General features: G+C 39.3%; 1 long non-coding RNA gene across 5 annotated transcripts in view; it reads left to right on the top strand.

Moving 5' to 3' along the window:
- LOC105374122 (uncharacterized) overlaps positions 1 to 13,688 on the top strand; it is a 161,587-nt gene that overhangs the window by 22,171 nt on the left and 125,728 nt on the right. For 3 of the 5 annotated variants that reach the window (XR_924527.4, XR_007096111.1, XR_001740926.1), the window contains exons 3-4: positions 913 to 950; positions 2,405 to 2,645. This is a non-coding gene — a long non-coding RNA (uncharacterized LOC105374122). Of the gene's footprint in view, positions 1 to 912; positions 951 to 2,404; positions 2,646 to 2,875; positions 5,581 to 13,688 lie in introns of those variants that run through there. The other 2 variants (XR_002959651.2, XR_924528.4) reach the window with 2 other exon arrangements.

Below are 13,688 nucleotides of genomic sequence, written 5' to 3'. Positions count from 1 at the left end.
AAGGCAAGGCCAATGTCTACTTGGAATGATACTTGTAAAACAAGGGTTGAAAACTCATGTGGCTCGGCATCCGTTCAACATAAACAATGAGATAAGAATGTAGGGTCCTGGGGACCTGAAAATAAAGTATAGGCCTGTCCTAAGGGGACTGCTGCTATAGGGGTTCATGAAAAAGACTGGTGCTTCCATGAGGAAGTGCTGGTCCCTGTGGCCAGACCTCAGGTTTTGCAAGGTATCTGTACTTTAAAAAATGTAAATCTCCTGAGTTTTAATTTAATTTTTAGAAAATACTGTGTGCATGAAGCAAAATATATCTGCGAGCTGAATGTGGCCTTCAGGCTGTGGTTGTTTGCCTCTGTTTTAAACCACCGTGCATGCTGGAGAGAGCACCTGAGGCAAAAACAGTGAGCACATTTGTGTGCTCATCTCTAGAGGGGCCTCTGCCTGGTAATGGGCCACTGGGAGGCAGGGTGGGCTACAGAAATTGGGGGAGGGCTGGGGAGCCTATGCATGCATGGTCTGAAGAGCAGACAGCTTAAAACATGTTTCCAAATGTGTTTTGGCCGCTTTCGTTTATGAGAACTGGCGAAATCTGCAGGTTTAAAAAAATCTTATTTGTAAATTTACTTATTCCTTAAATTCCTTCTTAAAACATTATTTTATGTTATTTAATCTTCATGAGATCCTTCAAGGATTCCCAACTGTACCCAAGATAACAGTTGACAGTTAAATCCCTCCATGTTAGGGCTGCACATTCAATTCATTCATTCATTCATTCAGGTGTGAATTCCTTGATTTGACACATACACAAATAATTATACAAATAATTATTGAATGCTGTCTTGTACAGGGAACTGTATGAAGTACCTCTAGAATTGCAAAAATGAATAAGGTACTGTTTCTGCCTTCTAGGAACTCAGATGCCCTCACTGCATCTCAAATGCACTCAGGTAGGTACGATGATGGTAAGAGTTCATATTTACTGACTACCTACTAAGTGGTTGGTACTATTCCTAGTATTTTGTTTTAACTTTCGCATTTAATCCTATGACAGCATACCTAAGAAGTGACTATTATTTCTGACCTCCATTTAGAGAAAGCATGGAGACACATGCTGTTTCGGCACTTTCCCCAAGATCAGAGAGTTATAGGAGCTGGAGCTGGATAGAAGCCTGGTGTACACCTCTCTGACTATTGCTTCACTGGGCCACCTGGCATCCTGTGGAGGGGCTTCTGAGCACCTGTAATCTGATGGAGAGCATGGCAGAGGCAGCTGGATGCTAGACACTGAGGAGACACCTGAGTCTGACAAGTGGAAAGAGATGTGTGTGGGGAAAGGAGATCAGGCAAAGGCTCCGCAGTAGGAAGGCCAGAGTGGCCCCTGAGACCACAGGAAGAAAAGGGAAGCAATGCTGGACAGCCGGCCAGCTCCTGGGCTGTGGGGCCAGCAGCCATTAGAGACAGTCAGAGTAGAGGACCCTTAGACCCCACCAGACCCTGCAGAGGATGAAACAGAAGGATGCAAAGAGATTTGTCCTCTTAAGAGAGGAAACAAATACAAATCACAATGAAATGCCACTTTCCTGCATCGGATTAACGAATACTCGAAAGCTTAATACTACTTAGTGTTGGCCAGGACTTTCCTTTTGCACAATTTTGATGGGCGAGTCAATTGGGAAAGTGTTTGTGAGTGCAGTTTGGCAATATGTGTGTATCTACATTTTAAATGCACATACTTTTTGGTCCAGAAAAAGTCCCCTGAGGATACACATATACCTGCAGGATAAATGCACACATACATATATTTAGGGTTGGCATTTTTACAAACAGAAAATTAAAAATGATCTTCATCAGTAGGTTAAGCAAATAAATTATGATAATACAAACTAGGGAATACTGTGGCTTCGTATTACTCTTAAAATAAAACCCCAAGCCCTTTCCCATGGCCTATAAGGCCTGGGATGATTTGGTCCCTTCCCCGTTCTCACCCTAATTTTCCACTGCTCTTTCTCTCCTCCTGCTCCAGTTCCTAGAGGCTATAGCTGTTCCACAGACCAAGGCAGTTCCACCCTTAGGGCCTTTGCTCCTGCAGTTTCTCCTTCTTGGAAGGTTTTCTCCCCCAGATATTAATACGACTGTCTCCTCACTCTATTTATACCTCTGTTCAAATATCAACATGTGGTGAACAGCTTCGAAAATGACCCTTAACGACCTGCCCTCCTGGTATGGATTCCCTCCCTTCTAGTGTGAGCTGGACCTAGTGACTTACTAATAATGAATAGAATATTTTAAAAGGGGGGATTTCACTTCTGAGATCTTATAACAGAATACCATGACTTCATCTTGCATGCTCTTTCTCTCTCCCTCTGTCTTCCTCTCCCTGTCATTCTTGCTTGTGAGTAAGCAGGCTGCCATGCTGTGAGCTGCCCTATGGAGAAGTCCACATGGCAAGGAACTGAGGGATACCTTCAGCCAACAGCCAATGAGGAACTGATGCTCCCAGAGAACAGCCTGTAGGAAACTAATTCCTGCTAACAACCTTCAGATGACTGCAGGTCTGGCTGGCAACTCAACTGAAGCCTGAGAGAGATCCTGAAGCAGCGGGTGCAGCTAAGCCTCTGCTGGATTCCCATTAGACAGAAACTGTGAGTCATGAATACTGTTGTTTTAAACACTAAGTCTTGGGGTAATTTGAAACACAGCGATAGACCACTGATACAGAATCCCTGGGAGAAGTGTTCTATGACTATGCAATTTAAAACAGTATTCTTTGTTGCACAGTGACCCCTTAACCTGCTTTATTTTATTTCATAGCATGTATTTCTTGGACATTCTTTGATATCTTTTTGTTTGTGTATTTCTTTCTCTTTACTAGAATGTAAAGTTTTATGAGGACAAAACTCTTGCTTATCATTGTGTTCCCTCGTGCCTAGAAGAGTGCCTGACATTAAGTGGGTGCTCACGTTTGGTAGGTATTTGTGAAGGAATAAATATTGCAACCCATAAAAAGAATGAATAGTCATGCAGATCCAATATGGGGAAGGCTTCCAAAATATAACATTATGGCGGGAGAGAAAAGCAAGTTGCAAGGCAATCTATATATATCATGATCCCCCTTTCATATCTGAAAGTTTGCATATGCAATGAAAAATGTCTGAAAAGATACAGATCAAAGTGTGAATAGTGGTTTTCCCTACAAGATAAAATTATGGAGCCACACTGTCTTAAACATTTCTTTAATTTTTAATGGTTTTATAATTATTCTAGAATCAGAAAAATTCAATGAAGACATTTTATAGAATTCTTAAGGCCAACCAGCCACTTGCTCTTCAGTGTTCCTGTGTCTTCTCTTGGCAGACCTCCAAAGAGGCTACCTGCTGCTAGTCTGAACCCAGCAGCCTTAGACTTTTTCCTTATGGTGGCCAGAACCATTCTCCCTGCACCTCACCCAGCCAGCCTCCAGTCTCCAGGCAGTGCACAGGAAGAGCTCCCACATGACAGACTGTCAGAAACCTAGCATGTTTTCTGTGAATATTTCTTGGCAATAATTACTGAATAGGAAATAGGGAGTTGAAGAGAAATAAAAATACAGTACAGCAAAAATAACTGTTTTTGCAGTTCAGCCTTGAAGGGATAAAGGCTGCCGAGTAGCTGATGGATGGAGCACACTGCGCTGATCCTCTGCTTTGCTTGAGGGCGAAGTTCTCATGGGGACACTAAGGCTGGGCTTCATGGAAAGCTCCAGTGAGATCCCTGGACACATATCAGATTTCTCCCTGGTTATGCTGAGTGTATCTGTGCAGGAAGGTACTCAGAGTGCTCCATCTAAAGCCCAGCATTCCCTGTAGACTAAGAGTCAGTGTGGGAGAGAGGTGGGGGCGGGCAGCCTTGTCATTCTTCCCCTCACAACTTGGCTTGGGCAGTTTTTCATCTCCTTGCTATGTTATCAACTCTCCACTGCCTCACCCACTATATCCTATATGCTCTTAAATTTGCTGTATATGTTGACTGGGAGGCAAGGTAAGCCTCCAAGAGGAGAGCTGATCATAATCCTGAAAGACACAATCCAGAGTGCCACCATCCTGAATGTGGAAATCCTGAAAGATCACAATCCCAAAAATATAACTCTGAGAAAAACAATAAAAAAGTATTTTAAAGATATTTAAAAGGGAATTTATTTGAGAAACAAAAATGCAACAGAACACTTCACAGGCCACTTTATACAATAAAAGAGTCAATAACATACACATTTTTGGAGGCATAAAAATTCAGATATACTAATGACAGCCACATGGATATAACAATTATGAGCAGATGAACTGTATTCATAAAGAAATAGGTGAAAAAGGGAAATATATAAACACATATCACTATGGTTGTGTACGCAGCCTTATAACTGCAGTCATATGAAATACTGTTATGAGCAACCTAACAGTATTTTAAAGAGATCAATAAAAAAACAAAACCATGTTGGGTCACCATCACATATGCAGTCTCCCAAAGAGCCGAGATCTTGAGACATTTCTCACAAAAGCAGATGTAGCAAAAGAACATCTCTTCATTTATTGAGGAAATTTCAACATTTTTACTTACATGCACAATGCTTACACACAAAGTCAACGTTATGATAATGCATTTTCTGGAGTCAAATCTGCAAAAAAATGTGTAAAACCAATTAGAACTCTCCAAAAGTCTCTATGCAATTTATATCTTCAATATTGAAAATGATGTAAAGATGAAATACATAGCCTAGCAAATTGTAAAATACAACATTAACAATTTAAAATAATGAAAAAGACTAACAAAAAGAAAAGAAAAACATTAGACATGAAAAGTATATTAAGTGGATAGATAATGGCAATTGCACAGAGGTTGTCCATAAGGCTGGCTAACCTTCACTATCATTGACTATATTTTGAAGTCTTGCATCACGATGAATAGCTGCTTTTTTCTATTAGGACATGGCTTTCCTCAGAGAATATTTTCATATTCATTTTCTATGTAGTGCTGCTCTTTTTGATATTCTTCTGTGATTCGATATGCAACAACATGAACATTTCCTGTTAAACTTTCCCATCTTCTGTTTAGGAATTTTGATCTCTAGGGATTTCAGTATTTGGGATGATGGTGTTTGGAATTGTGTCTTTCAGGTTTATGATCCAAACCCCTCTGAGAGCAGGGACACAAGATGTTGTGTCCTCTGTGGTATCCTCAGGGCCTGTTATACTGACAGCACAAGTAGAGACTCAAGCAGTGTGGTTGGCAGAATGAATGGCCACTCTCACATTTGTGTATGTCCTTTCTAAAGTGTGCTCCAGCATGGCATGGTCTGACACTACGGAGTAGAGCAGGATTGTACACACCTTCTTTCTACATTCTATACTTCCATAAATGTAATCTAAGAGCAGATTTTTTGGGCAGCCAATTAAACAGTTATAAAACTTGTTCCTCCAACCTTTTCTTCTTAAAGAAGATGTCAGCTATTATTTCTTTAAATGTCACTTTAATGATGAAATATTTCAAACATATTATATTTAAAATATTCTGAACATAGCAAGTCCTCATGGACCTGCCTCTGGAATTTAACACATATTCTTTTTTTTTTTTTTGCTTTTTTCATAATTTTAATTTTCATATATTTTTCTTTTCCTTTTTATTTATTTATGCTTTTAATTTTTAATTTTTGTTGGTACATAGTAGGTATATATATTTTGGGTGTACATGAAATGTTTTGATGCAGGCATGCAATATGAAAAAAGCACATTATGGAGAATGGGGTATTCATCCCCTCAAGCATTTATCCTCTGAGTCACAAACAATCCAGTTACACTCTTCAAATTATTTAAAAATGTACAAGTAAGTTATTATTGACTTTAGTCACCCTGTTGTGCTATCAAATAGTAGGTCTTACTCATTCTTTTTACTGTTTCTGTATCTACTAACCATCCCCACCTCCCCTCCTTGCCCTCCAGTACGCTGCTATTTTACCATGATTACTTCAAATTTTTGGATAAATAAAATATACAGATAAAATCAAAGCCTCCTTTATTTTTCATTCTTTGCTTTTCATTCTTTCATCACAATAAATAAATATTATTCTGAAGTTGATGTATGTTCCTCCCACCCATGTTTTATAATTTTATTACATATATACTTATAAAATATCATATATAAAGTATCAAATCTTATTTGTCTGATATTCTGTAACTCACAATTATGTTTTCAATATTGATTCCTAGGAACCTAATTTTAGTTACTGAATTCTATGAGTGTGTCATAATTTGTCTATGCTCCAGTAGCTGTGTACAGGATTTCTCATTTCCCCATTTTCAACCATTCCTCAGTTTTATAAGGCTTTTTATTTACCAAGCCAGTAAATATGAAATGATATCTCATTTTAATTTGCATTTTCCTTTTACTAATAAGGTTGGACGTCTTTTCACGCATTTTTTTTTTGCCATTTGGATTTTTTCTTTTATCGATTTCCTATTCTTACATTGTGCTAGTTTGCAAAAATGGCCACAATAATTTCCTTCCCTGAATCGATATCCTTGGGTAATTCCCATCATACAGATTCTGGGCGTAGACATGTGATTTCCTTTGGCTAAGGAGATAAGAAAATGTGAGACTTGAAGAGGCCCAAGAGACTTGGAAAGTGCTTGTGCATTGGTGCTGTTTCTTGCTTCTCTGAAACCACCACCATGTGAAAAAGCCTGGGCTAGTCTGCTGAATGATGAGGGACACGTGGCCTGGTGACCTTCATTAGTCCAGCAAACTGCCAAACACATGAGTGAGGCCATTGACTGCCAGCTGACTGCAAACATGAGACTGAGCCCAGCTAATTTCTTGAGGATAAAATGAGCCATTTTTTTCTGAGCTCAGCCCAAACTGTCAACCCACAGAAATCAGAGCACATAGATATTTGTTGTTTTAAGCCAGTAGCCCTGGGTGGTGTGTTATGGCAGCTATAGCTCATTCACATTATTTTGCCCATTTTTTCCCCTTTTGGTTGCTTGTCTTTTTTTTATTGCTAAACTCTTTCTTTATTTCTTCTGGGTTTTTTTTTTTTTTTTTTTTGAAACAGGGCCTCACTTTGTCACCCAGGCTGGAGTGCAGTGGTGTGATCTTGGCTCCCTATAGCCTCGAACCTCCACCAGGCTCAAATGATCCTCCCAACTCAGCCTACTGAGTAGCTGAGACTACAGGTGCATGCCACCACACCCAGCTAATTTTTATATTTTTTGTAGAGATGGGGTTTCAGCATGTTGCCCAGCCTGATCTTGAACTGCTGGGCTCAAGGGATCTGCCTGCCTTGGCTTCCCAAAGTGCTGGGATTACAGGCATGGACCACCGTGCCCAGTCTGCTAAACTCTTTCTTAACATGACATTTCTCATTCAACTCTGTAAGTTTACGAGGCAGACATTATTATCATTATTATCATCATTTCCATTTTAGAGATGAGGGAGCTAGGATTAGAGGTTTAGTGATTATTCAAAGATCATGCACCTAGCAAGCAAGGAAGGTGAAATTTGAATCCATAAATGTCTGGCTGCAGGACCAGAGCTCTCAGGCCATTTCACTTCCCTGCTTCTCTCGCATGTTGAATTTACAGTCGCTCAGTTCGTGGAAACTCTTTAGGGCCAGGCACTATGCCACATTTTATATCATACTAAACACAGAGTTTTGTTTTAAACTTCGTTTAGGACTTTCTGTTTTCAGTGGTGTACTAGAACAAGCCCACAGCAGTTCACGAGAGCCAATGTTAGCTAGCATCTCTTCCCAATTCTGAGTTCAGGACATCACATGGTAACTTGACATCAGCTGTGGTAGGAGTCTTTATACCACAGGATTTAGCAAATACTGTGAATCAGGGGCTTTTATCTTCTAGAGAGCTGGTTTACCAGCACATAAAGTACTGGGCTGTGTTTATTCCTGTTCCTTGTATCTTGTTAGGTCTGTCCCTTTCAGTTGGTGGTTAGCATAGTGTTGGAACATTATTTGTCATCCAACATATTTGCTATTCCTATCCACTTTATATCATTTCGCAAATGGAATAAGTATATCTTCTATGTCTTCACTGGCTCACAAACTGAGCTTTCAGGGCTGGGAGTAGAAACTTTTCTCCAGGTTCACTTGTTCCATTAATCAATACGTTCATTCCTCTACCGACAGGCAATAGTCCTTGAGTATTTTCTATGTGACAAATAGTATTCTAAGTCCTTTACATGTATTAAATTATTGTAATCTCCTCAGCAACTGATGAGTTATGGATTTGAGGCACAAGGAAGTTGAATTCCTTAGGGGTCTACATAACTAGGTGATGGCTGAACTGGATTCAAATCCAGTTTGCTAGTTTGCTATCCTCTCTTTACTTAACTGCGCTACAATCCAAACTTTGAGCCTCTATCTGATCCATAAGGATACCACAGAGGAGTCTGGATTCAGTGAGCAGTGGGATTCAGCAGTAGTAGAGGGCCATTGTAAGTGTTTGAATGGGAGAGTGATACTTTTCACATGGTACTTAGAATGTTTTGTTACACTAGAGTATGATAGATTGTCCCAAGTAGGAGAAAGGCCAGGGGCAGGAAAAACACTTGTGGGATTGTAGCTATCATTTAGAGCTTGCTCATGTTTATGGAAATGAAATGACTCTTCTATATGGGGCTTTCACTCCAACTGGCTCAGGCTCCTACTGGCTCAGTCAAGTTGTCAAGGCTCTGTTCATGCTATTTCCCTGACCCACGGTACATTCTCTAGCTACTTCATTTCTTTATATATAAAAATAGTTAAAAAATAAACTACAGATATAATATTATTATTGGGCTCTTCCACAACATCATTCCCCTTAAATATTCATCATCTGTTTTATACACTTCTGATTTAATAATTTCTCACATATTTATTATTTATCACCAGTGAGTCTTTAAGTTCCTCAAGGGCAGGAACCATGTCTTATACTTTGGCATGCTCTGCAGTGCTGAGATCACCAGAGTTACTCCATAAATGCTTGTGGAATATAAAAATGCATAAATAACTCTTCTTTTTTTTTTTCCCATGGGCAAGCTCATTGACAGTAGGTACCTGGAGTAATATAATTAGGAAGCTCCAAAATAAAATTGTGTTAAGGAACTACTTAAATGCTGTAAAGGAAAGTAGAGAAGACAGCCAATTTGTATCTACGAGCACCCATGATTTCTATGTAATAGAAGAAGTCATTTATTGGATTTAGTTGACTTAGTTAAGTTCCTGGCTACAGGCTGCCCCCTGAGTCCTTAATTGCTCATCCAAAAGGAGGAAGTAGTGGCCCCACTCAGAGCCAAGTTATAAGGTATCCATTAGCAGATTTGAGAGTGTGGCTAGAGAATTGTGGAGGCTGAATGAGGGGAACAGAACCAACAACTACCAATTATCTAGCGTGTGCAAACACTATGCTAAAGCACATTTTCTTTTAGTCATCATTACTAACCTGCTAGGTGTGTTTTGCTATTCCTTTTGAGAGATGAGAAAACTGAGCTCTGAAAGAGTATGTAACTTGTTTCAGAGTACACAGCAGGTAAGAAATGGAGCAGAGATTCAAATTCGCTTTCATCTGGCTCTAAAAACAATGCTTTATTGTTTACCTATAGGGCTAGCCTAGTAATGTAAATGTGTGAATTGGGCTGGGTATACGAAAACTGGGAAAAGTTTCCAAACTCTGTTTAAAGATTCAGAATCAAACTTAAAAACTACACTTCCTCCCAAAACTTTTGCAGGCTAGCCTTCTCTATTGGATCATCACTTGCAACTCTTTTTTTTTTTTTGAGACGGAGTCTCGCTCTGTGGCCCAGGTGGGAGTGCAGTGGCGCAATCTCGGCTCACTGCAAGCTCCGCCTCCCAGGTTCACGCCATTCTCCTGCCTCAGCCTCCCGAGTAGCTGAGACTACAGGCGCCCGCCACCAAGCCCGGCTAATTTTTTTGTATTTTTAGTAGAGACGGGGTTTCACCGTGTTAGCCAGGATGGTCTCGATCTCCTGACCTCGTGATCCGCCCGCCTCGGCCTCCCAAAGTGCTGGGATTACAAGCGTGAGCCACCGCGCCCGGCCCATCACTTGCAACTCTTATTTTTAATAAAGCACTTTACCCAGTCAGAGGTGGGAGACATGGATTTGTCTGACATTTTCTATGATGGGATGCTGTTACTTAGCAAGGCCAGCCTGGAATTTCAACTAATTCTTGATGGGGAAAAGCATACCATTCAGAGGTTGTGAAAGCAAAGAGATCATCCAGGGACCCAAGTTAGATGGTACTCCTAAAGACAGCCAGAGATGGACTGTGCTAATAGACTTCAGCAAAGGCAGTGGGTGCAGTGATTGATAGGCTGGTCTGTAGCAACAGAACTGGGGGTTATGTCAAACGGAATACCAGGAGAGTCTGGGGACACACAGGTCATCTGGTTCCAGAGGAAGATAAACATAGCCTCAGAGACTGTGGGAAGATGATAGAGAAGGTAGATGGGAAGGTGGTTAGCAGTGGAATGGTCAGGAGTAGAGATCTAAACAACAGCACCAAGGCAGAGTATTCAAGGCTTCTCCCTCTGGATGCCAGAGGACTGGATGGCAGGCTCTATTCTGGAGAGCCAGGTGGGATTTACACTCAGCAGAAAGACATAACAGAGTTCTGGGAGGTATTTTCCAGAATATACCAAAGGCAAGAGTGGTCTCTGTCCTAATCCTTGCAATTTAAAGGACGATATATATCACGATCATGATCACACACACACACAAACACACTAGTGTCTCTCACTTGAGAACCAGCTGTTATTGCTGGCACATCATAACCTGGAACATTCACTGTCAATGCTATCACCATTCAGGCCCCAGGGAAATGCTTCTTCACATCTCTTGCTCCACAACACAAATCAATTCATTCAGGTATGTGGGTTTGCTGTTGTTATTAGAAAAAGACAAGGGAAACTTGAGCAGTGGAAGCACTTAGGTAAGGGAAAGGACAAATTAGTGTATCAAATCCTTCCTCTCAGGTACATGAATGCGATAGGTTCTGGCATAATAAAATAAGATTTTTTAGTAGTGTCACATATTCTTTTTTTTTTCTTTCTTTTTACACTCCAATTTGTGGGTTTTGGTAGTGCTTAGAGTTAATATGGTATTCACAAAAGTTGTTCACGGTAGATGAGGAATAGTTTAGGTCTGAATATAACATGCGTGAAGTTTGACACTGCTTCTTTTTTGTCTTTTAAAAATAATTATTATGGGTACATAATACTCATATATATTTATGGGGTACAAGTGATGTTTTGATATAGGCATACAATGTGTAATTATCAAATCAGGATAATTAGGGTAATCATCACCTCAAGCATTTATCATTTCTTTGTGTTAGAAACATGGCAATTCCACTCTTTTAGTTATTTTAAAATATACAATAAATTATTGTTAACTATAGTCACCCAATTGTGCTACTGAATACTAGATCTTATTCATTCTATCTAACTGTATTTTTGTACCCATTCACTAGCCCCACTTTACCCCCACTCCCTGCCACCCTTCCTAGCCTGTGGTAACCATCATTCTACTCTCTATCTTTATGAGTTCAATTTGCTTAATTCTTGGCTCCCACATATGAGTGAGAACACGCAAAATTTGTCCTGCTGTGCCTGGCTTATTTCACTTAACATAATGTCCTCTAGGTCCATCCATGTTGTTGCAAATGGCAGTGTTTTATTCTTTTTTATGGCTAAATGATATTCCATTGTATTTATGTACCATATTTTCTTTATCCATTTATTTATTGATGGACACTTAGGTTGATTCCATATCTTGGTTTGGTGATTAGTGATGTAATAAACATGGGAATGCAGATATCTCTTCCATATATTGATGTATTTTCTTTTAGATATATACACAGCAGTGGCATTGCTGGATCATGTTGTAGTTCTATTTCTAGTTTTTTGAGGCACCTCCATATTATTCTCCATGGTGCCTATACTAATTTACATTCCCACCAACAGTGACACTGATTCCTAACATGGTCAATTGCATGGGCATTGAATTCTCAAATTGCAGATAATCTTATTTTTATGACATATTTATTAAGCTTTAATTAAATTTTCAAAATATCGAATGAAAAATTAAAGATGATTTAAGTAATTATTTAAAAATGCAATATTCATTGATTACAATATATATTTTACCTCTAAATTTAGTAAGTTTGAATATTTTGTAAGAAAAATAGATTTATAATTCTTTAAGAAATTAATTTTACAAATGTTTGTACTCGATTTACATGTAGCTTAATTTATTTTATTTTTTTTTAAGACCGAGTTTCGCTCTTGTCACCCAGGCTGGAGTGCAATGGTGTGATCTTGGCTCACTGCAACCTCCACCTCCTAGGTTCAAGCGATTCTCCTGCCTCAGCCTCCTGAGTAGCTGGGACTACAGGCACATGCTGCCGTGCCTGGCTAATTTCTTTTTATTTTTTGTAGAGATGGGGTTTCACCATGTTGGCCAGGCTGGTCTCGAACTCCTGACTTCAAATGATCTGCCCACCTCAGATGATCCACCCAAAGAGCTGGGATTACAGGCGTGAACCACCACTCCTGGCGTCAATTTACATTTTAAATGAAAATTTATTCAAATTGTGTACACTTTAAATACAATTTCCTTGTAGAGTGAATGTCATTATTATCCTCATTTGTGTCAACTGAACACAAATTACATAAAACTCTTGATTATAGGAACATACTTAGTAATTTTACTTAACTGATGGAAAGAAAAATAAAGTTCACAGAATGCATATATAGTAATTTATGAATTATGTATGCATTTATTACTTAATGCAAATATTATACAACTATCAATAGGTCACCTACACATAGACAATAATGATTAAATTCAGTCTATCTTGATATTTTCTTTTTGGCCATATGAAACTATAGCTTGCACATATTTTTAAATTTTGTCATCATAATGGTATAAATATTAAGGTGAAACGTAAGTTATCTGCCAATTTGTCAGTTTGATTTATAAATTTTAAATATTTAGACATGGTATGTGGGTTTAGTAAGTTGAATTGTGGCCTCCAAAATGATGTGTCTAAATCCTAATCCCTGCTACCTAAGAATGTGCCCTCATTTTGAAAAAAGGGTCTTTGCAGATGTAATTAAGTGAAGCATCTCAAGATAAGATCATTCTGGATTAACCGTGTGGGTCATAAGTCCACTGACAAGTATCCTTATGGGAAGAGGTGAAGACACAGAGACACAGGACAAAAGGGCCTGTGAAGGAGGAGTAAGGACCAAGCCAAGAATACCTGCAGTCACTGGAGGCCGAACAAAGTGAAGAAGAATTCTCCTCTACAGCCCTCAGATGGCATGCTGCTGACACCTTGACTTGAGATTTCTAGCCTCCAGAGCTGTGACATAATAATTCTTTTTCTTTTAAAGCCACAAATTTTGTAGTAATTTGTTATAACATCCCTGGGAAACTAACGTAGAAGTCTTCTATCTGTATCCTTGTTCTGGGTCCTGCTAATATTAGGAGTCAGTAATATTAGTCTACTGGGTAGACTAGGCTTGGGGTGGGGATGTGTTACAAGAGCTTGGTTTAAAACCTGCCCAAATGCTTTCCCTGAGAGATTGTGAGATCTTTGGAGGCAGGTACTTATCTTTTCTTTATATCCCTAACTGCTA

Source organism: Homo sapiens, chromosome 3 (genome assembly GCF_000001405.40).
Source record: "Homo sapiens chromosome 3, GRCh38.p14 Primary Assembly".
In the NCBI taxonomy this organism is placed as follows: domain Eukaryota; kingdom Metazoa; phylum Chordata; class Mammalia; order Primates; family Hominidae; genus Homo; species Homo sapiens.
Note: the sequence above shows the minus strand (reverse complement) of the source record. Positions and strands in the feature narration are given on the sequence as shown.